The sequence below is a fragment of the Homo sapiens genome, chromosome 5 (genome assembly GCF_000001405.40).
Source record: "Homo sapiens chromosome 5, GRCh38.p14 Primary Assembly".
Lineage (NCBI taxonomy): Eukaryota > Metazoa > Chordata > Mammalia > Primates > Hominidae > Homo > Homo sapiens.
This window is the reverse complement of record NC_000005.10, coordinates 75,532,442-75,558,662: the sequence shown is the minus strand read 5'-3', so window position 1 is coordinate 75,558,662 and position 26,221 is coordinate 75,532,442. Positions and strand designations below refer to the sequence as shown.

Below are 26,221 nucleotides of genomic sequence, written 5' to 3'. Positions count from 1 at the left end.
AAAAAATTTTAAAGAAGAGTTACAAGCGAGAATATTAAACTATATTCCTACCGTTCAATAACTAAAACTGTATGGTACTGATACAGGAAAAGACTGAATTGATTAGAAGAGAGAGTCCAGAAATAAATCAAAGAACAATTGAGAATTTTTTAATTTGGAAGTACTTCATTTCAACTCAGTGAAGAAAGGATTCATGATTCAATAAATGGAGTTGGGACAAGTGAATCACCACTTAGGGAAAATAATACTATGCAGGGAAAACATAACACCATTTAAGAAAAACATACTTCACACTTTACATCAAAACAAATTCCAAATTGACTAAAGATATGAGTATGCCAAGAGCTATAAAAATACTAAAAGAAGACATAGGCATGGTTATGAGGAATAATTTTCCAAGTACAATACCCAGACCAAAAAAAAAAAACAACAACAAAAATTATAAGAATATTGTTCCTGGAACTAGTAAGTGATAATAATCAGTTACAAGATATAAGGTTAATATACAAAAGTCAATCACTTTCCTGTATGCCATCAATGAACAAGTAAAATTTAAAATTTAAAACACATTACAGGCCCAACATGTTGGCTCACATCTGTAATCCCAGCACTTTTGGAGGCCGAGGCAGGTGGATCACTTGAGCTCAGGAGTTCAAGACCAGCCTGGCCAACATGGTGAAACCCTGTCTCAACTAAAAATACAAAAACTAGCCAGGCATGGCAGTGAGCATCTCTAATCCCAGCTACCAGGAAGTGGAGGCAGGAGAATTGCTTGAACCCAGGAAGAGGAAGATGCAGTGAGCTGAGGTCATCCCACTACGCAGCAGCCTGGGTGACAGAGGGAGACTCTGTCTCAAAAACAAAACAAAACATAAAACACATTACAATTTATATTAAAACCTCCAAAAATGAAATACTTAGGAACAAGTGTAACAAAATATGTACAAGATCAACATGAGGAAAACTACAAAGTCTGAAGAAAGAAAGCAAAGAAGAACTAAATACGGTCTCTGGCCTATGATGGTTCAACTTAAGATTTTTCAACTTTATGAGGGGTTTATCTGGACATAATCCCACCATTAAGTCAGGGAATATCTGGACTTATGATGGTTTGACTTACAATTTTTCAACTGTATAATGGGTTTATCCAAATGTAACTCCATTGTAAACCAAGGAGCATCTTTAAATGGAGAGATATTCCATGTTCATGAACAGGAAGACTCTATTATCAAATGCCAGTTCTTCCCAACTTCATCTATACACTCAATGCAATCCTAGTCAAAATCCCAGCAAGCTATTTTGTGGATGTCAACAAACTGAGTCTAAAATTTATATGGAGAGGCAAAAGATCCAATTAGCCAACAAAATATTGTAGAAGAAGAACAAAACTGAAGGACTGAAACTACTTGACTTCAAGACTTACTATAAAGTTACAGTAATTAAGAGAGTGTGGTATTGGCAAAAGAATAGACAAATAGATCAATGAAACAGAATACAGAGCCCAGAAATAGACTCACATAAATACAGACAATTGGTCTTTGACAAAGGAGCAATGACTCAATAAAATGGAGAAGAGTTTCTTTCTTTTTTTTCTTTTCTTGAGACAGAGTCTCATTCTGTTGCCCAGGCTGGAGTGCAGTGGTGCAATCACAGCTCACTGCCACCTCCACCTCCCAGGCCCAAACAATCTTCCCACCTCAGCCTCCCAAATAGCTAGGACCATGGGCCTGTGCCACCACCCCGAGTTAATTTTTTCTATTTTTTGTAGAAGCAGGGTCTCGCTATGTTGCCTAGGCTGGTCCTGAACCCCTGGGCTCAAGCGATCTTCCCACCTTGGTCTCCCAAAGTGCTGGGATTACAGGCGTGAGCCGCCACACCTAGCAAGAAAAGAGTTTTTTAACAAATTGTGCTGGAACAATTGGATATCCTCATGTTAAAAAAAAAAAAAAGAAAAAAAGATGAAGTTATTTCCTCCACAAAAATGAACTCAAATGAATCACAGACCTAACTGTAAAATGCAAAACTATAAAATTCCTAGAAGATAACATAAGAGAAAATCTAGATGGACTTGGATTTGATGATGACTATTTAGATACAATACCAAAGGCACAATCCATGAAAGAAAGAATTGATAAACTAGACTTCATTAAAATTAAAAATTTCTGCTCTGTGAAAGATACTGTCAATAGAATAAAAAGAAAAGCCACAGGTTGGGAAACAATATTTGCAAAAGACATATCTGATACAGGTCTGTTGCCCAAAATACACGAAGAACTCTTAAAAACCAAAAATAAGAAAGCAAACAGCTTGATTATAAATGGTCAAGGACCTTAACAGACACCTCAACAAAGAACATATACAGATGGCAAATAAGCACATGAAAAGATGCTCCACATCATATGTCATCAGGGAAATGCAAATTAAAACAACAATGAGATACCACTATACACATATTAGAATAGCCAAAATTCACAATACTGACAACACCAAATGAGGGCAATGATATTTAGCAACAGGAATCCTCATTCATTGTTGGTGGGAAGACAAAATGGTATGGTCGCTTTGGAAGACAGTTTGGCAGTTTCTTATAAAGCTAAACATATTTTTATTTTACCATATTATCCAGCAATTGCGCTCCTTAGTATTTACCTAAAGGAGTTGAAAACTTATGTCTACACATAAGCCTGGCCATGGATATTTACAGCAGCTTTATTCATAATTCCCAAAACTTAGAAGCAACCAAAGTAAACTTTAGTAGGTAAATGGACAAATAGCTTGATAGCTCAATTATTTTATGTGCTGAATATTATTCAATTGTCTGTGGTATGGCTCACGCCTGTAATCCCAGAACTTTGGAAGGCTGAGGCAGGCGGATGACATGAGGCCAGGAGTTTCAGACCAGATTGGCCAACATGGTGAAACCCCGTCTCTACTAAAAAATGCAAAAATTAGCTGGGCATGGTGGTGGGCACTGGTTATCCCAGCTACTCGGGAGGCCGAGGGAGAATAGCTTGAACCCGGGAGGTGGAGGTTGCAGTGAGCCAAAATTGCACCACTGCACTCCAGCCTGGGCAACGAAGTGAGAGAGACTCCATCTCAAAAAAAAAAAAAATTGTCTGTGGTACACCCAGACAATTGAATAATATTCAGTACATAAAATAAATGAACTATTAAGCCATGAAAAGACATGAAGGAAATGTAAATGCATACATTTACATTACACTGCATAAGTAAAAACAATCAGTCTGAAAAGGCTACATCCTGTATGATTCTAATATATGACATTCTGGAAAAGGGAAAACTATGGAGATAGTAAAAAGGTCAGTGATTGCCAGGGGTTAGTGGGGGAGGGAGGGATGAATAGATGGAGCACAGAGTATTTTTTTAGGGCAGGGAAACTACTCTGTCTGATACTATAATGGTGGATGCACCTCACTGTACATTTGTCTAAACCCACAGAATGTACACCACCAATATTGAACCCTAATATAAACTATCAACTTTGGATGATAATGTTGTGTCAACGTAGATTCATAAACTGTAACAAATGTACCCCTCTGGTGGGGGATGTGATAGCAGGGGAGGCTATGCCTGTGGGGAGACAGGAGTATATGGAAAATCTTTGTACCTTTTATTCAATTTTGCTGTGAACCTAAAACTGCTTTGAAAAATAAGGTCTTTTTATACAGGCTTGTGTTTGTTCACTGCAGCACTATTCACAACAGCAAAGACATGGAATCAATCTATATGCTCACCAATGATAGACTGGATAAAGAAAATTGTGTACATATACACCATGGAATACTGTGTGGCAATAAAAAAGAATGAGATCATGTCTTTTGCAGGGACATGGATGGAGATGGAGGCCATTATCCCTAGTAACTAACAAAGGAACAGAAACCACATACCGCATGTTCTCACTTATAAGTGGGAGCTAAATCATGAAACCACATGGACACATACAAGGGAACAACATACACTGGGGCCTACTGGAGGGTGGAGGATGGGAGGAGGGAGAGGATCAGGAAGAATAACTAATGAGTGGTACTACGCTTAATGCCTGGGTGACAAAATAATCTGTACAACAAACCCCCACGACACCAGTTTATTTATATAACAAACCTACACATGTACCCCTGAACTTAAAAGTTAAAAAAAATAAATTTTGAAGGGAAAGGAAGATATATATATATATAATCTTTTTTTAAAAAAGTCACTGGATTTGATTACATAAACATTAAAAATTATATGGGAAAAACTACAAAATTAAAAGACAATATATTGGAAAAGTATTCATAACAAATGGCAAGAAAAAATCTCTAATATATTAAGACCTTATAAATCAAGATAAATAGATATAAACTCCCCCAGACATGTGGGCAAAAAACATTGCTTTAGGCTGCTGCTTGAACCCCAAAATCTATTCTTCCTTCCTTCCATGGTAATGGATTTTCAGCTGGGCACATGGCACCCAGCTAAAGTTATAGCTTCTCCTGCAGTTAGGTGTGGCCATGTAACTTAAATTCTTGCCAAAGAATGTCAGCTGAAGTAATGTGTGCAACTTCTTTTTCACTTGTTTAATAGCAAATTACTGTACTTGCCTTCAATATTTTCCCTTTCTTCCTTAACCAGGAGATGGAATATGGATGGAAAATAATTCACTTTTGTTAATTCAGGTAAGGATAACACCAGGGGATGATGGAACAATATGATTTAAAGAACCTGGGTCTCTAAATGATAATCAGCCACTCACCAGCTAGAACTACTCACTTATTATGTGAGAAAGAAAGCAGCTCTTATTTAAAATATTACATTTTTGGTCTCTTGTGCTAGCAACTTAGTGTATATACTCGCAAACAGAATAAAAGAGGAAATTCTCATAATAAGGAAATATTAATGGTTTACAACTATGTGAGAAAATCAATACTTTCATGTTGAAAATGTAAAATGATACCATCTTTGGTCAAAATAACAGCACTAGAGTACAAAGATAAGAATGATAATCACAGGGTTGCGTATGAAATAAAAAACTGAAACCAAGGTGGGATATGGTAAATAAATTATGGTACCTCCACACAGTGGAATGCTGTGAAGCATTAAAAATGATGATATGACAAATAAATCATCTTTCATCATAATAGAAGACCACTTAAAAATTATCTTGTGCTCTGAGAAGGCATATGTATCAAAAAATCACACATTGTATAGTTTGATAAAGAAAACATAAAATTTATGATCTTTGAACTCTGTCACAAGAGAAGGATTTTGTAGCATATTAGATTAATCTAATTTTATTGTTACCTTATAGACTATAGAGCTCTGTTAACATTGGATCAGATTTTGATAAAGAGCAAATTCCTCTTGCCATGACTTGTTTTACTATCAGAAATTTGACTGCTTTGAGTTGTCAGTCTACCACACAGTGCCCTGCAACTTGGATATTTCCAAACTTTTCTCCTGAAATAACTTTTAATAGAAGAGGAAACTTGGAGTATTTACTTCCCAAAGATCCTGGAGAAGGCAAAAACCTTCCAAGGTTTTAGAAGTCTTGTGTTTTGTCTTAAAAGTTCATGTACATTTGGCATTCTAATCTATAGTGTGACTTTTTATTTTACTATAACATGATTATGTTTTAAGTTACTCTCCAATTTAATTAGTTAACATATTCCTCAAATTTTTTTTGCAAAATCAGCATTGCAGAAAACATTCCACATTTATCCCGTGGCCTTTTCTAGCTGCGATGTATACAATAAAAAGAACATAGGCTTTGGATTAAATCCTAGTTCTGCTAACTACCTGTCCTATCAAGCTGGGCAAGTTACTCAACTTAATTAAGACTTCATTTACTCTTCTGTATAATAGAGGTGACAATGTCTATGTGTGGAGTCTTTATGTAAATGAGCAGAGCAACACTTAGCAAAGTAAAGTATGTTCATTTGCTGAATATGTATGCTTTACAATATAATGAACATTTACATTTCATCTTGTTTTCAGTTATGACTTGACAATACATTTTAACTGTCAATTACTATTCTACCAGCTTCCACTTTATTTAACAATTTAATTAATACCTGTAATTGTGCTTTTCTTAGCTGTTGGCTGGTGATTTGAGCTTTTTGTTGCATCATATTTTCAATTCGTTGGTTGACTTGCTTTTCTTTCTTGAGCTCATTTCCATAAAATCTGGACCCCTATGGAGGAAAACAAAACAAAGCATAAGAAAAATGTCTGAAGGAAAGCATCACTGTAGTATAACCTGGTGGCTAAGAGCACATACTCAGGAAACAGAAGATTAAATTTAAAACTTAGCTCTACTACTTACTAGCTAGGTGACCCTAAAATTATTTAATCTTTCTACATCTCAGTTTCTTTATTTGTAAGATGAATTTATTAGTAGTTAACTAAATCACAGGATTGTTGTGAGCAGTACTTAGCACAGCACAAGCTCTCTGAGATGAATACAGGTTTGCATTCAGAAAAGAACAGTATGTCCTAGGTAGGATCCACAGTGGGTATCAAAGGCCTTAGTGGGTTGGATCATCAGTTATCTATTGCATTAAAAAAATACTCCTTACAAGGTATTTTCAAATATTTAATGTTAAGTCATTAAAGAAAATGTAGAAAATAATTCAAAAAACTGCCCATCATTTCATCACTGAACATAGTGTCTATCCATTTATCTGGTTGATAGACATTTAGCTTATTTTCACTTTTTGGCTACAGTGAAGAATGCTATCATAAACATTTGTGGACAAGTTTTCATGTGGACATATGTTGTCATTTCTCTCAGGTAGGTAACTAGGAGTAGGGTTTCTTTGACATATGGTACCTCTATACTCAACCTTTTGAGGAAATGCCAGTCTGTTTTCCAAAGTGGTTGAACCATTTTAAATCCCATCAGCAACGTAGGAGGGTTCCAATTTCTCCACGTTCTTGCCAACATTTGTTACTGTGTCTTATTTATTATAGCTATTCTAAGCAATAGTAGCATGAATGGCATCTCTTTGTGGTTTTTAAATTTTTATTTCCCTGATGACTAATAATATTGAGCATCTTTTCATGTGCCTAGAGTCATTTGTATATCTTCTTTACTGAAATGTCTATTCACATCTTTTGACCATTTTTTGATTCGGTTGCTTGTCTTATTGAGTTGTAGACATTTTCTGTATATTCTGGATATAAGTCTTTTATCACATATGTGTTTTACAAATATTTTACCCAAGGCACATTGCTATCTTTTTCTTTTTTTTTTAAGAGGTTGGGGGGTGGGGTCTCATTATGTTGCCCAGGCTGGTCTCAAACTCCTGATCCTCCTACCTCAGCCTTCCAAAGTGTTAGGATCACAGGTGTGAGCCAGCTCACCTGACCTATCTTTTTATTTTTATTGCTGTCTTCTGAAGTGTAAACATTTTAAATTTTGATGAGGACCAATTAATCAACTTTCTTTTATTGATTGTTCTTCTAGTATCACATCTAAGAAATTTCTGCCTAACAGAAGGTCTCAGAGGCTTTCTCAAATTTTCTTCTAAAAGTTGTATTGTTTTGGCTCTTTAAGTCTATTTTGAGTTAATTTTGTGTACGGCGTAAGGGTTTTGTTTTGTTTTTAAGAGACAGGGTCTCACTATGTTGCCCAGGCTGGTCTCAAACTCCTGGGCTCAAGTGATCCTCCTATCTCAGCCTACCAAAGTGCTGGGATTACAGGTGTGAGCCACTGTACCTGGCCCTTTTATTTATTTTTATTGCCTGACTGCACTGGTTAGAACTGTTAGGACTATGTTGAGTAGAAAAGGTGAGAGTGGACATTCTTGCCTTGTTCCTCATTTTAGGTAGAAAGTGTTCAGCCTTCCACCATAAAGTATGATGTACACTGTAGGCTTTTTTATAGATGCCCTTTACTAGATTGAGGAAGTACCCTTCTATTTCAAGTCTGTTAAGAGCTTTTAGCATGAATAGTGGTGGGATTTTATCAAATATGCTTTTTCTGAGTCTACTAAGATGATCGTGTGGTTTTTTTGCCCTTTATTTTAATATGATGTATTACATTAATTGATTTTCAGATCTCTCTCTTTTTTTTATCTTTTTCTGAGAAGGAGTCTTGCTCTGTTGCCCAGACTGGAGTGCAGTGGTGCAATCTTGGCTCACTGCAACCTCCACCTCCAGGATTCAAGCAATTCTCCTGTCTCAGCCTCCTGAGTAGCTGGGACTACAGGCATATGCCACCACGCCTGGCTTATTTTTGTATTTTTAGTAGAGACGGGGTTTCACCATATTGGTCAGGCTGGTCTTGAACTCCTGACCTCCGGTGATCCACCCACCTCAGCCTCCCAAAGTGCTGGGGTCATAGGCATGAGCTTGGCCGATTTTTAGATCTTAAACCAACCTTGCTTTCCTAAGATAAATCCCATTTGGTTATGGTGCATAATCTCTTTGCTATATTGTTTAAATCAGTCCTCTAATATTTTGTTGAGGACTTTTGCATTCATAATGATGTATAACCTTGTGTTTGGCTTTGGTATCAGGGTGATACTGGCCTCATAGGAGTTGGGAAGTGTTCCATCCTTCTCTATTTTCTAGAAGAGCTTGTGGAATATTGGTATCATTTCTTCTTTAAATATTTGATAAAACTCACCAGAGAAGCCAAATGGCCTGGTCTTTTTTCTTTGATGGGGAGATTTTTAATTACTAATTTATTTCCTTATTATATAGGTCTATTTAGATTCTCTGTATCTTCTTGAGTCCATTTTGAAAAATTGTAAACTTCTAGAAATGTGTCCAATTTATTGGAATTTGTTTTAAAATACTCCTCCCTCCAAAAATCAGTAGGGGAAGGGTAAGATAGATAACTATATTTGCAAAAATGTTGGTAATTGTTGATGCTGGGTGATGATTATATGGGGATTTACTTTACTATTCTCTGTAATTTTCTATATATTTTAAATTTTCTGATAAGAGTTTTAAAAAAGTAAAAAGTAAATTGTATTGCTATGGAATAGTAACAATTAGAAAATTCCAATTTAAACAAGGTACCATTTATGATAAACTCACCTCATGCACTAGAGGAATATATATTATTCTATGTATTTTTATATACCAATCATGTGATATGTGCCAATTATATATGCACCTATATATTTTTGATATATATCACATAAAATTTATATGAAAGCAAAGCTTCAAGAATACTCAAGATATTCTTGAAAAAGAACAAAGTGTAAAAAAAAAGAAATTGTGCTAGCAGATATCAAGGCTTATTATAAAGTATGATAATAAAAAAACATGTTGTTTACATACAAACAGGCAAATGATCCAGTGGAACAGAAGAGAAAGCACACCAGATCAGTAGGAAAAGAATGGACTATTTAATAAATTGTACTGGGTCACAGAGAATAGAGAGGGAGGATCAGATAGATAGGGACATCTAGGGTAACCTACATATTCTATTTCTTAACCTAAGAACTAGATTCATAGGTTTTATTTGTTTTATTCTTTTTGAACATTTTTATGATGAAAATATCAAAAAAGTCTCAGGAAAACGCAGGAAAAACATGAATACAATAAACACATATAAAACTATCACTCAGATTTAACAGCTGTTAACATTTTACTGTATATGCTTCATTACAAGTGAAACATTTTAAATTATAAATATCAAGATATTTAGCCATTCCACAGAAGATTTCGGTATGCATTTAAAAATAAGGCCATTTTCCCACTTCATCACAGTAACATTTTCATAGCTAATGAAATTAACAATAATTCCTTAACTTTTTATCGTGGAATTTTCAAATCTGCAAAAGCTGAAAAAATAGTACAACGAACACCTATATACCCTTACCTAGATTCATCAATTAATATCCTGCTACATTTGATTTCTTCCCCAACTTCTATGTATATATGTTGGGGAAGTATGAGTGTATACACACACACATACATACACACACACACACTTTCCCCTCCTTTTGGCTAAACCATTTTAAAGTAAGTTGCTGTGGACATCACCACGCATTTCCTAAGAACAAGGATATTCTCTTAAAGTTTACATCTTTCTACATGTATATTAATACATGTATTGTGTTTATTAATATACATAACATATAATACAACATACTAATATACATTATATATCATGTATATATAATGTATATTAATATTGATATACATTAATACACATAACACATTAATACATATATATTCTATAATATATAAATGAAACAAAAAAGTGGTAAAAAAATTAAAGAATTCTTTTATAACCTTGAAGAAAGCCATATGTAGTTGACATTCAACTACATAAAATGGAGCAAACAAAAAATTTCTGAACAGGAGAAACTACCATAAGCAAAGTCAAAAGATAACTAATTATTGAATGTGCATATGTATACAGAATATATAATCAAAGTTCATAAAAAATGAAATACAAATAATTTTTAAAATATCAAAAGAGCTCCAGGCACAGTAGCTCATGCCTATAATCCCAGCACTTTGGGAGGCTAAGGTAGAGGGATTGCTTGAGGCCAGCAGATCAAGACTAGCCTGGGCAACACAGTGAGACCGCCTCTCTACAAAAAATAAAAAGTTAGCCAGGCTTGGTGGCATGTGCCTATTGTCCTAGCTCTTCAAAGTCTGAGGTGGGAGGAACACTTGAGACCAGGGTGAGGCTGTAACGAGCTATTATTGTGCTACTGGACTCCGGCCTGGGTGACAGAGTGAGACCTTGTCTCAAAAAAAAGAAAAGATATGAAACTAATTTTTCATAAGTGGAATACAAATTAATGCTATACTATATTACCTCAGATTGCCAAATACAAAAGTTTAGTAATACACTGTGTTGGCACAGTTTCAGTATGGTAATACATACTCTCAGATATTTGTAGTGGAAGTGTGAATTGATAGAAACACCATGGAGGGTAATTTGGCAATTCATAAAAATCACACATGCATATATTCTTTTGTGCTATGTGTAGTTGGTGAAACAATTCCATTGTAGGAATCTCTTCCACAGTTATACTTGCACATATAGAAAGTTATAAAATACGTTATTCCCTACTTCACTAGTAATGTTTGTAAAAATAAAAGACTACAAATGACATATATTTATCCATAAACTTTTTGGATGGTTCAATAAATTACATTATATCCACACACACAGGCATACAAAGAATGAAGATCTTTATTTACCTATACAGAAAGAGCTCCAAGTTATATTAACTGAAAAAAAAAAATCCAAATACCTAAACAATTTCTCCCACTGGGGTTAAAAAAAAAGGTGAACAGGAACATATACATTATTTTGGTTTTAAATGCCTATTATATGCATGTGAAATAGAAACCTGGATGGTAGGAGCAACAGAATAGAAGGGAGATTATTCCATACCCTTTTGTAGTTTAAAAATAATATATATTAAAATATTGAAATATTAAATACAAATGATATTCAAATGATTTTCTTTGAAACAGAAAGTTAAAAGGTCATTAAATTACACACATCAAAAGAAACAAGAAACATACCTTCGTGGCTTCCATTATAATTTTGTTAATTTTCTCTTTATCTAATCCTTCCATTCCTGCTTTATTATCATTAAGTCCCATCCTAAGCAGAAGATCATCTTTGTAACTGTCACACTTCTCCTTTGTGCTATCCATGGTATAAACTTATCTGAAAAAGCATAAAGATAAACACTGCTTTTAAAACCATCTGTGGCCAGGCGTGGTGGCTCATGCCCGTAATCCTAGCACTTTGGGAGGCCGAGGCGGGCAGATTGACTGAGCTCAGGGGTTCGACACCAGCCTGGGCAACATGGTGAAACCCTGTCTCTACTAAAATACAAAAAAATTAGCCAGGCATGACGGCATGCGCCTGTAGTCCCAGCTACTAGGGAGGCTGAGGCAGGAGAATTGCTTGAACCCGGGAGGCAGAGGTTGCAGTGAGCCGAGATTGCGCTACCGCACTCCAGCCTGGGGGACAGAGCGAGACTTTGTCTCCAAAACACAAACAAACAAAAACCAGAAAAAACTCCAAAAAACATGTTGTGGGGGTGGGGGGTGGGGTGGGGCAGGAGGACCATGTACATCCGTTATGCATCAATAAAAAAGTTTTAAAACGTTAAATGATATAGAAATCAGCAAAACAAAATTTTTAAATGACAGTTAAGAATTTTTAGCTACTAAAAATTATTACTCAGATTTTAAAAATTACAGGTGACTCTTAGACAACACGGGTTTGAACTGAGAGGATCCACTTATATTTGAATTTCTTCCGTTTCTGCCACCCTCAAGACAGAAAGACCAACCCCACTGCTTTCTCCTCCTTAGTTTATTCAACATGAAGACAAGATGAAGATCTTTATGATCTACTTCCACTTAATGAATAATAAATATATTTTGTCTCCTTTATGATTTTCTTAATAACATTTTCCTTTCTCTGGCTTTCTTTATTGTAAAAATACAGTACAGAACAAATATAACATACAAAATACATATTAATCAACTGTATACCTTATTAGTAAGGCTTCCAGTTTACAATAGGCTATTAGTAGTTACGTTCTTCAGGAGTCAAAAATTATATGTGAATTTTTGATTGTGTGTGGGCAGGGTCCCTAGCCCCTGTGGTGTTCAAAGGTCATCTGTACTATCACAAGATTATGATATTCTTGGAGAGAAGAAAGGAATTAGCATTTTCTGCATGCTCCATTCTAGCTACTATGCTTACGGCACTACATGTGAGGGCCATAACAGCCCTGAAAGATAGATATTATTCGCCATACAAAAAGATAACAAACCTGACTCTTAGAACATGTCTACTGACACAAATTTGCTAACAAGTGGCAACACATGTGTTGGAACCCAGGCATGAGTAGAAAACTTACGTTTCTACCCAGATTAAAACATGGTATAGAAATACAAAATAATACTTCCTCTACTATACACGTTAAGTTCAAATGCATTTATTATCTACTGTATGCAGATCTCCTTCTTAAGGCAATGAAAAAATACAGAAAAAAAAACCTAGAAAGTTACGTCATCTCTAAGGTTAAGAAAAATCCTTTCAGATAATAATTATTTAATATCTTTATATACTTTATAGTTTATCTTCACATACATTAGCTTTTAAAGATATTTACAACCATGCAAAACAGATCTGGTTATTTTCATATTAGGGAGAAAAAAATGAGAACTTCAGCAAGATTGAATGAATTGCCCATCATAACTGTTAGTAAGTGGAAGAATTGGGATTTGAATGCAAGCCTTTTTACTTCAACTCTGATGCACTCCATGACATTACGGTTGCCTCCAATTTGGGGATCATGTATGCTATAAATAAGTGGCCAGATGAACAGCTGTCATGAATCTAAAATAAATTACGATTGTGACTTATTTGTATGATTTAGAGAGGGCACTCATTTACTCCACTCTGCCTTGAGGATCTTCCCTTAACAATGTTGCTTCTGTTTTTGGCACCAGCAAAGAATAAAAAGAATTTTGGAAGGGACTCTGAATACTGTGACTATTAGTGGTAGTTTCACTAGGAAAAAAAGTATACATCATGGTAGTTCTCAAACTTTGCTGCACATTAGGCCCACCTGGAGAGCTGTGACGCCAAAGCTCCTCCCATACCAAATAAATCAGAAGGTCTGGGAGTAGAAGCCAGATAGGAGTATTTTAAAGAGATGCCCAGGTAATTCCAATGTGTCCCAAAGTACAAGAACCACTGGTATAGATGTTATTTCGTAGTGCCCAGGGGAATATAGGTTGGTTTTTTGTTATCATTTGAATTTTTTTCCCTTCGACTATCACACTGAGCTAAAATTACTCTATATTTTGCCTTACGCTTCATTAATCCAATTACCTGTCATTGTCTAGTAAAGCAGGTGAATGTAATTCAGTCATAATTTCACCATACCTTCACTACTAAAGAGTGAAGTGGCTAAATGCAAACATCCTACATTTAAGCTGTCTTGCCCATATATTTCTGGGTTTGTCATTGTTGTTATTCATATTCATTCATTCATTCATTCATTCATTCAGAGACAAAGTCTCACTCTGTCACCCAGGCTGGAGTGCAGTGGTGTGATCTCGGCTTACTGCTACCTCCGCCTCCTGGGTTCAAGCGATTCTCCTGCCTCAGCCTCCCAAGTAGCTTGAACTACAGGTGCACACCACCATGCCTGGTTAATTTTTGTATTTTTAGTAAAGATGGGGTTTCGTCATGTTAGCCAGGCTGGTCTCAAACTACTCAAGTGATCCATCTGTCCCAGCCTCCCAAAGAGCTGAGATTACAGGCCTGAGCCACCACACCTGGCTCTTGTTGTTTTTTAGAGACAGGGGTGGGTTGCCCAGGCTGGACTTGAATTCCTGGGCTCGAGTGATCCTCCCACCTCAGCCTCCGAAATAGCTGAGACTGAAGGCACATGCCACAACTCCTGGCTGCCTTGCCCTTTAAAAGATGAAATGTATAAAAGGAAAAGACATATTATTGAATGCCTACTCTTCACATATATTAATTGCTTAGCCAAAAAACTCTTGAGAAGAGGCCGGGTGCAGCATCTCATGGCTGTAATCTTAGCACTTTGTGAGGCCAAGGCAGGAGGATTGGTTAAGCCCAGGAGTTCAACACCAGCCCTGGTAACACAGTGAGACTCATGTCTACAAAAATAAAAGTAAAAAATTAGCCAGGTGTAGTGATGCGCACCTGTAGTCCAAGCTACTTGGAAGTCTGAGTTGGGAGTTTCACTTGAGCCTGGGAGGTCAAGGCTACAGTAGGCCATGGTCATGCCACTGCACTCCAGCCTGGGCAAGAGAGCAAGAACCTGTCTCAAAAAAACCAAACCAAACAAACAAACAAAAAACTCTAAGAGTTGGTTTTGGTGCTTGAATCAAAAGAATTGGGCTATGGGCAATCCTGGGACAAGGCAAAATTGTGAGATAGGTAAAGTTAGTTTTTTGCTACCTTCCTGCTTATTGATACCTAATTACCATGAAACTTTTGTCCAGTTTCATAGGCATATGTTGACTATCATCTACATGCCAATGACTTACAGGTTTATAGCACCAGTCAAAATACCTGTTTGCCATTTCAAGTTTAACATGTCCAAAAGTAATCTTTTCATCTGCCTCCATCCCCTCCAACCAGCTCCATTTACGGCCTTCCTGGTATCCATTGAGGGCAACTCTAATCTATTCCAGTTGCTCATGCAAATAACCCAGGAGTCATCGTTGACCCCTCTCTTTCTCATACACCCACATCCAAACTATCAGGAAATCCTGTGAGCTCTGCTTTCAAAATCACCCCGAATTTATTCAGGTTACTAGTTAAAAATATAAGGCACAGCTGGGAGCAGTGACTCATGCCTACAATCCCAGCACTTTGGGAGGCCGAGGTGGGTGGATCACCTGAAATCAGGAGTTTGAGACCAACCTGGCCAAAATGGTGAAACCCTCTCTACTTAAAATACAAAATTAGCTGGGTGTGGTGGCACATGCCTATAGTCCCAGCTACTCAGGAGGCTGAGACAGGAGAAACGCTTGAACCTGGGAGGCAGAGGCTTCAGTGGGCCAAGACTACACCACTGCACTCCAGCCTGGGCCAGACAGAATGGGACTCCGTCTCAAAAATAAATAAATAAATAAATAAATAAATAAATAAATAAATAAATAAGGCTGGGCGCGGTGGCTCACACCTGTAATCCCAGCACTTTGGGAGGCCGAGGTGGGTGGATCACGAGGTCAGGGGTTCGAGACCAGCCTGGCCAATATGGTGAAACCCCATCTCTACTAAAAATATAAAAATTAGCTGGGCGCGGTGGCAGATGCCTGTAATCCCAGCTACTCAGGAGGCTGAGGCAGGAGAATTGCTTGAAACTGGGAGGTGGCGGTTGCAGTGAGCCAGGTTGCAGTGAGCCGAGATCACGCCACTGCACTGCAGCCTGGGCGACAGAGTAAGACTCCGCCTCAAAAAAAAAATACATATATATACATATATGTATATATATGTATATATGTGTATATATATATGTGTATATATGTATATGTGTATATATGTGTATATATATGTGTATATGTGTATATACACACACACACATATATATACCCACACATATAAGGCAAACTTTTGTTTTTGGTGGTAATAAAGATGGAAACTTAGAATTTTTAAGAAAGAATTCTAAGGAAAAAGTTTTAGTGTGGTAGGCCTCCTCCCACCTATAAGAGGTAAACAAAGCTATATAAAAAACCACACTGTGATCAAAGTCACCTGGAATTAATCTACCAGAAAATATGCAAAATATACCAAAAGTAATAAGAGAGAAGGGGAGGAGACAGGGGATGGGGGAAAGGGAGAGTGAGGGAGAGAGAGGTGGCGGGAAGAGAGAGAGAAGTATGAATACGAAAGGCTAAACTACAGTAAGTTCCTAGGTGGAGCTTGTTTCCTATTTCTAATATACTATAAATAACCAAATGCAATAATTTCCTCAGAAAACCTTTATATACTTTAAGGACAAATACTATTTTGAATCTCCCAAATATTCAAATATTTAATACTTTGAACAGATTTAGCACCCAGCACAAAATTTCAGAATGTGATTAAATGCTCGTTATTCTCTATAAATTTAAATACAATGAATTGAATTAGGGATATTACTCTACATTTAAAGTAGTAATTTTCAAACCAATACATCTTATATGATCTACTTTAAAATTTCCTTTTTCATTTTCATTTATTGCAAAAATACTTTTTGAAATTTCAAGAAAATAAAAAATCACAATTCAAGACTTTAACAGATTATTTTTCCATGTTCTTCAATTATTTTACATACAGATACATGAAAACATACACTGAAACCATATGGCCACAATTTTTGTATGACAAAAATGAAAGTATAGGTGCAACTTTGAATTTTTAGCTTTAGCTTTTAATATTTTTGCAAAACAAGAGGAAAAAACTTTAAAAATTATTTTAGACTGGATTTGAATGATTTTCTCATTTACATGTGTCACTGAGAGAAAGAACAGAAATAATGAAATTCCACAGATCCTAAACCAAGAGTATATACACTAAAACTCAAGTTTTTTACCAGAGACAGAAGGCCTGCCTTGTGAGAACCATGCATGTATTCTCTTCTACTGCCTTTCTCCTTTTTTTATTCATTTAATTGGTTCTAGTGAAGAAGAATGGGACAGAGGGAAATTTAAAAATCTATACTCTACTTCATCCTAAAGACATTAAATTCATTCTTATAGAACAATAAGTGGAAATTATCTTCTTTCGACAGGATGAATAATATTCTGATATAAACATATTACCTACAGTGTCAATTCAAAGGTCAATTCCCCAAGCCCCAAGTTTTTGTTTTTGTTTTTTGGTTTTTTTTTGAGACAGAAGACAGAGTTTCAGTCTTGTTGCCCAGGCTGGAGTGCAATGGTGCGATATCGGCTCACGGCAACCTCCGCCTCCCAGGTTCAAGCGATTCTCCTGCCTCAGCCTCCCGAGTAGCTGGGCAGCTGGGATTACAGGCATGCACCACCACGCCTGGCTAATTTTGTATTTTTTGTAGAGACGGGGTTTCTCCATGTTGTTCAGGCTGATCTCAAACTCCTGACCTCAGGTAATCTGCCCGCCTCTGTCTCCTAAAGTGCTGGGATTATAGGCATGAGCCACTGCGCCGAGCCTCCAAGTTTTTAAGTTTCTATTTGGATGATGAGTTGCATATTTTATAAAAAGCCTTCCAGGTTCTTTAACAATGAAAACTTTAACTCAGAAATAAACATACTCAAAAGTGTGAAAATCTAAGTTTTTATCTTATAGGAGTTGATTGTTTCTTGGAATGCTGAATCAACATGAAGGAGATAGGCTGGGAGTTTCTTTGGGCACTAGATGTCGGCAAAAATACCTATCTATATAAAAGTGATGCTAAACAGACTAATTTTGTTTCAGTAAAATGCACAGGTCTTAAGGGACAGTTCATACTAATGTCCTTAGAAAACGAGAAAACATTTCTCCTGTAGTACCTTTTTTGGTACTGTATTTTTTAAGCTCTACAATCTAGAATATTACAATTTTAATATAAAATTAGGCCAGGGGCAGTGGCTCAGGGTTGTGATTACAGCACTTTGGGAGGCCAAGATGGAAGGATCATTTCAGGTTAGGAACTCAAGACCAGCCTGGGCAACATAGTGAGACCCTGTCTACACAAAAAAATAGCCAGGTGTGTTGACATGTGCCTGTAGTCCCAGCTACTCGGGAGGCTGAGGCAGGAGGATTGCTTAAGCCCAGGAGTTCGAAGCCGCAGTCAGCCACGGTTATGCCACTGCACTCCAGCCTGGACAACAGAGAAGAGTTTTTAAGAGACAGGGTGATGAAGCCTGTGTCTTTAAAAAAAAAAAAAAATTACAACAGAAGCCAGGATAATAGGATAGGGCTACACTACAAATAAGAAATTGAGATACTGTGCTATTTATCTTCACACTACGCTCCACACTATTGGAAGCAAAATATCTAATAAAATCAAAAAGAGTTGTATAAGCTATTATTATTTTCCTGTCCTGGAAAAATGATCCTTTCAATTGTCCCCTTTGCCAAACTGCTCCTAAGTTTCTTCTGAGTTCTAACCTTGATATTGTTTCTTGATCCACTGCTCCTGACTTTTTAGTTTTCTTACAGCTCTAATAGTGTATGGCAGGGGTTTAAAACTCCTTAGCAACATAACCCTGTTCAAATGAAATTTTAGATAAAAATCTCAAATATTTCCTTAGATCTCTGTTCTACTGATGCTACTTTACAGCTCTTCTATAATTTCTTCATATGTATTCTATCACTAATTTAAAAGAATAAATGGGTAACCTACAAAAAGGGGAAAGCTCATAGTAAACTTCATTTATTTGACTCTCCAAATTCCTTAGAAATATTTATGCAAGTAGGGTGTGGTGGCTTATGCCTATAATCCCAGCCCTTTGGGGAGCCAAGGCAGGAGGATTGCTTGAGCCCAGGGGTTTGAGACCAGCCTGGGCAAGAGAGTAAGACGCCTGTCTCTATAAAAAAAAAATTAAACGTGGGAGGCTGAAGTGGGAGTATCTCTGAAGCCTAGTAGGTCTAGGCTGCAGTAAACCATGATAGTGCCACTGCATTCCAGTCTGGGTGACAGAGACACCCTGTTTCAAAAAAAAGAAAAGAAAGAAAAAGAAATATTTGTGTGAACACTAACATACATTGCGATTGTTACCAACTCAAAGACCGCAATAACAGTTGTTTAATATTGATGAATTTTAAAAGATGGTTTCCATAGCAAATCAGCTCTGAAAATCATTATTCTATTTTCTTCCTAGTCATATCATACATGCCTAAATACCAGAAACAAAAAAATTAAACATCCCAAAAATACTGCTTCGGGACTTGCCAAAACATGATAAAAAAAAAAAAGCAGCAAGAAGTTGTGGTCTTGGAGTGATTAAGCCAAAATGATTTAGAAACATAATCACATACCTTCCTTAATAATCTTTTATTCTTTTAAGAGCACAATGTTAAAAAGAGCCTTACTTTTAAAATACTGACAGTCCATTTGGAAACTATTATTAACCCTGTGCTATAAAAATACACTTAAACGGCCGGGCACGGTGGCTCATGCCTGTAATCCCTGCACTTTGGGAAGCTGAGGCGGGTGGATCACCTGAGGTCAGAAGTTTGAGACCAGCCTGGCCAACATGATGAAATCTCATCTCTACTAAAAATACAAAAAATTGGCTGGGCATGGTGGCACATGCCTGTAATCCCAGCTACTCAGGAGGCTGAGGCAGGAGAATTGCTTGAACTTGGAAAGTGGAGGTTGCAGTGAGCTGATGTCGCGCCGCTACATTCCAGCCTAGGCAACAAGAGCAAAACTCCATCTCAAAAATAAATAAATAAAAAAAAAATAAAACCACTTAAACACATATTATATAAAAAGCATCTGATAATAAACAACGGCATCTAGGATTTACACTAAATTAGTAAAAATAATTATTCTCAATTGATGAGATGAATGTTACAGTTTTTCAGAATTTGTCTAACAGGTTTTCCGGTCTTCACCAGAAAGCTCCCACCACCCCTGCCAAAAAAAATTGATGAGATGATATCTCTCTCTCCTCTGAGATACTATAACTTGGTTTGTATTTAGTAACATTTATTTTTTTTGAAGTTTCAAAAAACACTAATGGAAGGTTTATGAAAGAAAGCATGAGTTAAAAAACATTGCAAAACACCGAGCTAGATTAGTTCATCAAACTATCACAATATGTGGTTTATGTTAGCTTAATATGTGGTTTAAGTTAGCTTAATTTTTTTCATAAAAGAAAAAGCAGTCCAGACTTACTGGTAACTTTTTTAAATTAATGAGATCCAAATATGCTGTTTATTTTAAGAAGACTTTAAAAAATGTGCACATGGTATAGCATTATGAAAATTCATAAAATGTTAACAGCTACCTCCAGCATATGAAGTACTTATTTCTATACTACAAAGTACACTAAAAAATAAAATTTGAGGCTGGGCCTGGTGGCTCAAGCCTGTAATCTCAGCACTTTGGGAGGCCGAGGCGGGTGGATCACAAGGTCAGGAGATCGAGACCATCCTGGCTAACATGGTGAAACCCCGTCTCTACTAAAACTACAAAAAATTAGCCAGGTGTGGTGGCAGGTGCCTGTAGTCCCAGCTACTCGGGCGGCTGAGGCAGGAGAATGGCATGAACCCGGGAGGCAGAGCTTGCAGTGAGCCGAGATTGCGCCAGTGCACTCCAACCTGGGCGACAGAGCAAGACTCCGTCTCAAAAAAAATAAATAAATAAAAATAAAAAAATAAAAAAAACAAAATTTGAACTGCAAATAAAATATACATTTTCTAACACTACTAAAATAATTATTATAAAATACACATTTCCTAACACTACTAAAATACTTTCAATAATACTTCACAGATGCTAGGAAAAGCACAAAAGGCACAACAAACTAATGCCATAATGTGTAATTAAGTGACCTGCTTCTAACAAATAGATTATAGCAGAAGTAGAAGTGATGGAATGTAACATCTAAAAATGGGTTAGGTTAGGGGGGCCAAGATGGCAGACTAGAAGCAGCTCATGCGCATTGCTCTCACAGAGAATAAGCAAAAGGGCTACTGAACACTGACCCTGCAAGCTGATCATCTGAGAAACAACGTTGAGATCTATCAAGGCAGCAGGGAAACACAGAGAGCACGGAGGAATGAAGGTGGGCACCAGCTTGTCTGGGCTGAGCACAGAGCCAGGAGAACCTAACCAACACCGCAAACGGTGAGTGAGAGCCCCCAGGGGGATTCACACTTTCCACAGAAACCTGTGCAAGACTGGGAATGGGAGATTCCCCCTGACCACCCTGTGCCCCCCACCCCCATGCTTCTAGACTGAGGCAGAGCCACTGAGATGTTTGGTGGAGGCAATTCTGAAGCCCAAGGGCACCTCTACAAGCTTTGCGCCCCGGAGCAGATCAGCACCAGTGTTATAGCCTCAATAGAGGCCGCCACTGCAGTGCCTGAAAGCAGTAAGATTTCTCCACTACTCCTTGCTGGATGGGGCTCAGCAACAGCCTCCAGCCCAGTGGTCCTGCTTCAGCCAGAATTTGGCTGGCCACTCCATCTACCCTTGCCACAGGTAGCCAGGCAGACAATGCTTGCTAGAGCTTCTAGCCCAGCAGTCCTGCTTCTGTGTGAACTCAGCTGAAGGATGCAGCTTTCTGTCATCCCAAGAAATGCTGGGACAGCAAACTACATGACCCTACCCGCCCCCGTCACTGGTAGCCAGGCAAGCAATGCTTGTGAGAGCTTCCAGCCCAGCAGCTCCACATCTGTGTGAACTCAGCAGGAGGGCTCAGCTTCCTGTTGTCCCAGTAAACACCCAGACAAGACAGCATGTCACCCTGCCCATCCCTGCCTCTGGTAGCTGGGGGGCAACACATGCTAGAGCTTCCGGCCCAGGGGTCCTGCTTCTATGGCAACTCAGCTGGTAGGCACAGCCTACTATTGTCCCAGCAAACACCCAGGGGGCAGGGTGGGTGCCTCCACCCACCCCCACCACTGGTAGCCAGGTGAGCCATGCCTGCTAGAGCTTCTGGCCCAGTGGTCCTGCTTCTGCCTGAATTTGCCGGGGGTACAGCCTCCTGTTGCCATGGAAACACCCAGATGGCAGAGCAGGCAATTCAACCCACCCTGCCTCTTGTAGCCAGATGGGCCACATCTACGAGAACTTCCAATCCAGGGTTCCCACTTCCACCTGAACTCTGCAGGCAGGCACAACCTCATGTTTCCCCAGGAAGCACACAGATAGCAGATTAGGGCTGATGTTGCAAGAATGCAGCCTCTCTGCCAACTGAGGAACCTGACTGAGGAAGCCCTGTGGACCAGAACACCCCCCAAAAAATGTAGGCACAGAGAAAGTAATCAGAGAGCGCTCCTCCAAGACCCAGGAACAGACTAGAATCAAAGTTCATCAACTGAATCCACCTTATACCATAATCAAATCCCCAAGGGCATCAAAGAAGAGAAAAGCAAAAAAATCCATCCAAAGGACAGCAACATCAAAAACTGAAGGAATATGAGCCCACACAAATGAGAAAGAACCAGCACAAGAACTCTAGCAACTCAAAAAGCCAGAGTGTCCTCTTACCTCCAAACGACCACACTAGTTCCCAGGCAATGGTTCTTAACTAGGCTGAAATGTCAGAGACAGAATCCAGAATATGGATAGGAACAAAGATCACTGACATATAGGAGACAGTCAAAACCCAATTCAAGAAATCTAAGGATTACAATAAAACAGTACAGGAGGTAATAGACCAAATGGCCATTATATGAAAGAACCAAACTCATCTGATAGAGATGAAAAACACATCAGAAGAGTTTCAAAATGCAATCCCAAGTATTAACAGCAGAATCCACCAAGGTAAGGAAAGAATCTCAGAGCTTGAAGAGTAGCTCTCTGAAATAACCCAGTCACACAAAAATAAAGAAAAAACAATAAAGAAGACTGAACAAAACCTCCAAGAAATAATGTGATTATGTAAAGAGACCAAATCTATGACTCATTTGCATCCCTAAAAGAGAGAGAGAGAAAGTAAGCAACTTGGAAAACATATTTCAGGATATTGTCCATGAAATTGTCATGAACTTTGCTAGAGAGGCCAACATTCAAATTCAGGAAATGCAGAGAACCCCTGTGAAATACTGCACAAGATCATCCCAAAGGCACATAGTCATCAGAGTCTCCACGGTCTGAAAGAAAAAATGTAAAGGCAGCTAGAAAGAAGAGGGAGGGCACCTACAAAGGGAGCCCCATTAGGCTAACAAGCAGACTTGTCAGCAGAAACCTTATTAGCCAGAAGAGATTGGGGACCTATATTCAGCATTCTTTAAAAAAAAATTTTCAACCAAGAATTCCATATCCAGCCAAACCAAGCTTCACAAATGAAGGAGAAATAAGATCCTTTTCAGACAAGTAAGTGGTAATTGAATTAGTTACCACTATACCTGCCTTACTGAGGTCCTGAAGGAAGTGCTAGCTATGGAAAGGAAAGACTGTTACTGGCCACTACAAAAGCACATTTAACTACACAGACCAGTGACACTACAAAACAGCAACACAAACAAGTCTTCATAATAACCGACTAACAACATGACAGCATCAAATCCGCACACATCAATACTAACCTTGAATGCACACCCCAATTAAAAGACAGAATGATAACTTGGATAAAGAAGCAAAATCCAATGGTATGCTGTCTTCAGGAGACCCATATCACATGCAATGACATCCACAGACTCAAAGTAAAGGGATGAAGAAAAATCTACAAAGCAAACAGAATACAGAAAAAAGCATGGATTGCTATTGTAATTTCAGACAAAACAGACTTTAAATAAACAAAGATCAAAAAAGACAAAGAGGGACATTACATAATGGTTAAGGGCTCAATTCAACAAAAGGACCTAACTTTTCTAAATATATATGCACTCAACATAGGAGTGCATAAATCAAGATTCATAAATCAAGTTCTTAGAGACCTATGAAGAAACTTAGATAACCACACAATAATGGTGGGAGATTGTAACACCCCACTGATAATATTAGACATATCATTGAGGCAACAAACTAACAAACATATTTGGACAGAACCCAATCCAAGAAATCTAAGGATTACAATAAAACAGTACAGGAGGTAATAGACCAAATGCCATTATATGAAAGAACCAAACTCATCATCCCTGAATATGGATAGGAACAAAGATCATCGACATACAGGAGACAGTCGAAACCCAATCCAAGTCAGTCTATCCCTGTTTGCAGACAATATAATTCTGTACCTAGAAAACCTCATGGTCTCAGCCCAAAAGCTTTTTTTTTTTTTTTTTAAGACAGGGTCTCGCTCTGTCATCCAAGCTGCAATGCAGTGACACAATCTCAGCTCACTGCAACCTCTGCCTTCTAGGTTCAAGTGATTCTCCTGCCTCAGCCTCCTGAGTAGCTGGGACTACAGGCATGCACCACCATGCCCAGCTAATTTTTGTATTTTTAGTAGAGATGGGGTTTCATCATGTTGGCAAGGCTGGTCTTGAATTCCTGACCTCAAGTGATCCATCTGCCTTGGCCTCCCAAAGTGCTGGGATTATAGGCATGAGCCACCACGCCCAGCTCCAAAAGCTCCTTGATGTGATAAACCTCAGCAAAGCTTCAGGATACAAAATCATTGTACAAAAATCTGTAGCATTCCTGTACACCAGCAACCTCCAAGCTGACAGCCAAATCAGGAATGCAATCCCATTCCCAATAGCCACAAAAAGAATAAAATATCTAACTAGGTATTGAAAGGGAGGTGAAATAGCTCTACAATGAGAATTAAAAAACACTGCTCAAAGAAATCAGAGATAACACAAACAAATGGAAAAATATTCCATGCTCATGGATAGAATGAATCAACATTGTTAAAATAGTCATGCTCCCAAAGCAAATTACAGATTCAGCGCTATTTCCATCAAACTACAAAGGACACTCTTCACAAACCTAGAACTAGAAAAAACTATTTTAAATTTCCTATGAAACCAAAAAAGAGCTCGAATAGCCAAGGTAACCCTAAGCAAAAAGAACAAAGCTGGAGGCATCACATTACCAGACTTCAAACTATATTACAAGGATATGGTAACCAAAACAGCACGGTAGCAGTACAAAACAGACACACAGACAAATGGAACAGAATAGAGAACTGAGAAGTACAACCACATGCCTACAATCATTTGATATTTGACAAAATCAACAAAAACACGCAATGGAGAAAGAACTCCCTATTCAATAAATGGTGCTGAGATAACTGGTTAGCCACATCCATAAGACTGAAACTAGATCCTTTTATTACATTATACACAAAAATCAACTCAAGATGGATTCAAGACTTAAATGTAAAACCTAAAACCATAAAAACCCTGGAAGATAACCTAGGAAATAACATTCTGGACATAGGCTTTGGCTAAGATTTCATGATGAATATGCCAAAAGCAATTACAACAAAAACAAAAACTGACAAGTGGGACCTAATTAAACTAAAGAGGTTCTGCACAGCAAAAGAAACTGTCAACAGAATAAAAAGAACCTACAGAACGGGAGAAAATTTCTGCAAACTACGGATCCAAGAAAGGTCTAATATCCAGCATCTGTAAGGAACTGAAACAAAATTTTAAAGCAAAAAAAGAATAACCCCATTATAAAGTGGGCAAAAACATGAACAAATACTTTTCAAAAGAAGACATACACGTGGCTAACAAACATATGAAAAAATGCTCAACATTACTTATCATTAGAGAACTGCAAATCAAAATCACAATGATATCACCTCCCACCAGTCAGAATTGTGATTTTTAAAAAATCAAAAAATAACAGATGCTGGCAAAGTTGTAGTGAAAAGGAAACACTCATACACTACTGGTGGGAATGTAAATTAGTTCAGGCATTGTGGAAAGCAGTTTGGCAATTTCTCAAAGAACTTAAAACAGAATTACCATTCAACCTGGCAATGCCATTACTAGGTATATATCCAAAGGAATATACATCGTTCTACCATAAAAGACACATGCATGTGCTTGTTCATTGCAGCGCTATTCACAATAGCAAAGGCATGGAATCAACCTAAATGTCCATTAATGGTAGACTGGATTTAAAAAAAAAAAAGTGGTACATATACACAA

General features: G+C 37.7%; 1 protein-coding gene and 1 pseudogene across 27 annotated transcripts in view, besides 1 other annotated feature; one reads left to right on the top strand and one right to left on the bottom strand.

The window, feature by feature from the left end:
- POLK (DNA polymerase kappa) overlaps positions 1–26,221 on the bottom strand; it is a 99,218-nt gene that overhangs the window by 51,329 nt on the left and 21,668 nt on the right. For 14 of the 27 annotated variants that reach the window (NR_144315.3, XR_008485566.1, XR_008485567.1 and 11 more), the window contains exons 2-3: positions 11,506–11,653; positions 6,072–6,191 (exon numbers count right to left, since the gene is read on the bottom strand). Coding sequence is in view for 19 of the 27 variants with exons in the window: in XM_054328411.1 (XP_054184386.1) it covers positions 6,072–6,191; positions 11,506–11,640 (255 nt within the window). In the remaining 8 variants the exon portion in view is untranslated. Of the gene's footprint in view, positions 1–6,071; positions 6,192–11,505; positions 11,654–12,492; positions 12,518–14,686; positions 14,801–17,066; positions 17,092–23,698; positions 23,836–26,221 lie in introns of those variants that run through there. The other 13 variants (NR_170560.3, NM_001395893.1, NM_001395897.1 and 10 more) reach the window with 7 other exon arrangements.
- Positions 20,005–20,065, top strand: RNU7-175P (RNA, U7 small nuclear 175 pseudogene; annotated as a pseudogene).
- Positions 22,233–22,431: a silencer, noted in NCBI's record as "fragment chr5:74832057-74832255 (GRCh37/hg19 assembly coordinates)". NCBI's record gives its function as "represses an EF-1alpha promoter that drives an FKBP-Casp9 reporter gene in an ReSE screen in K562 erythroleukemia cells {active_cell/tissue: K562}" and the evidence as "EXISTENCE:reporter gene assay evidence [ECO:0000049][PMID:32094911]".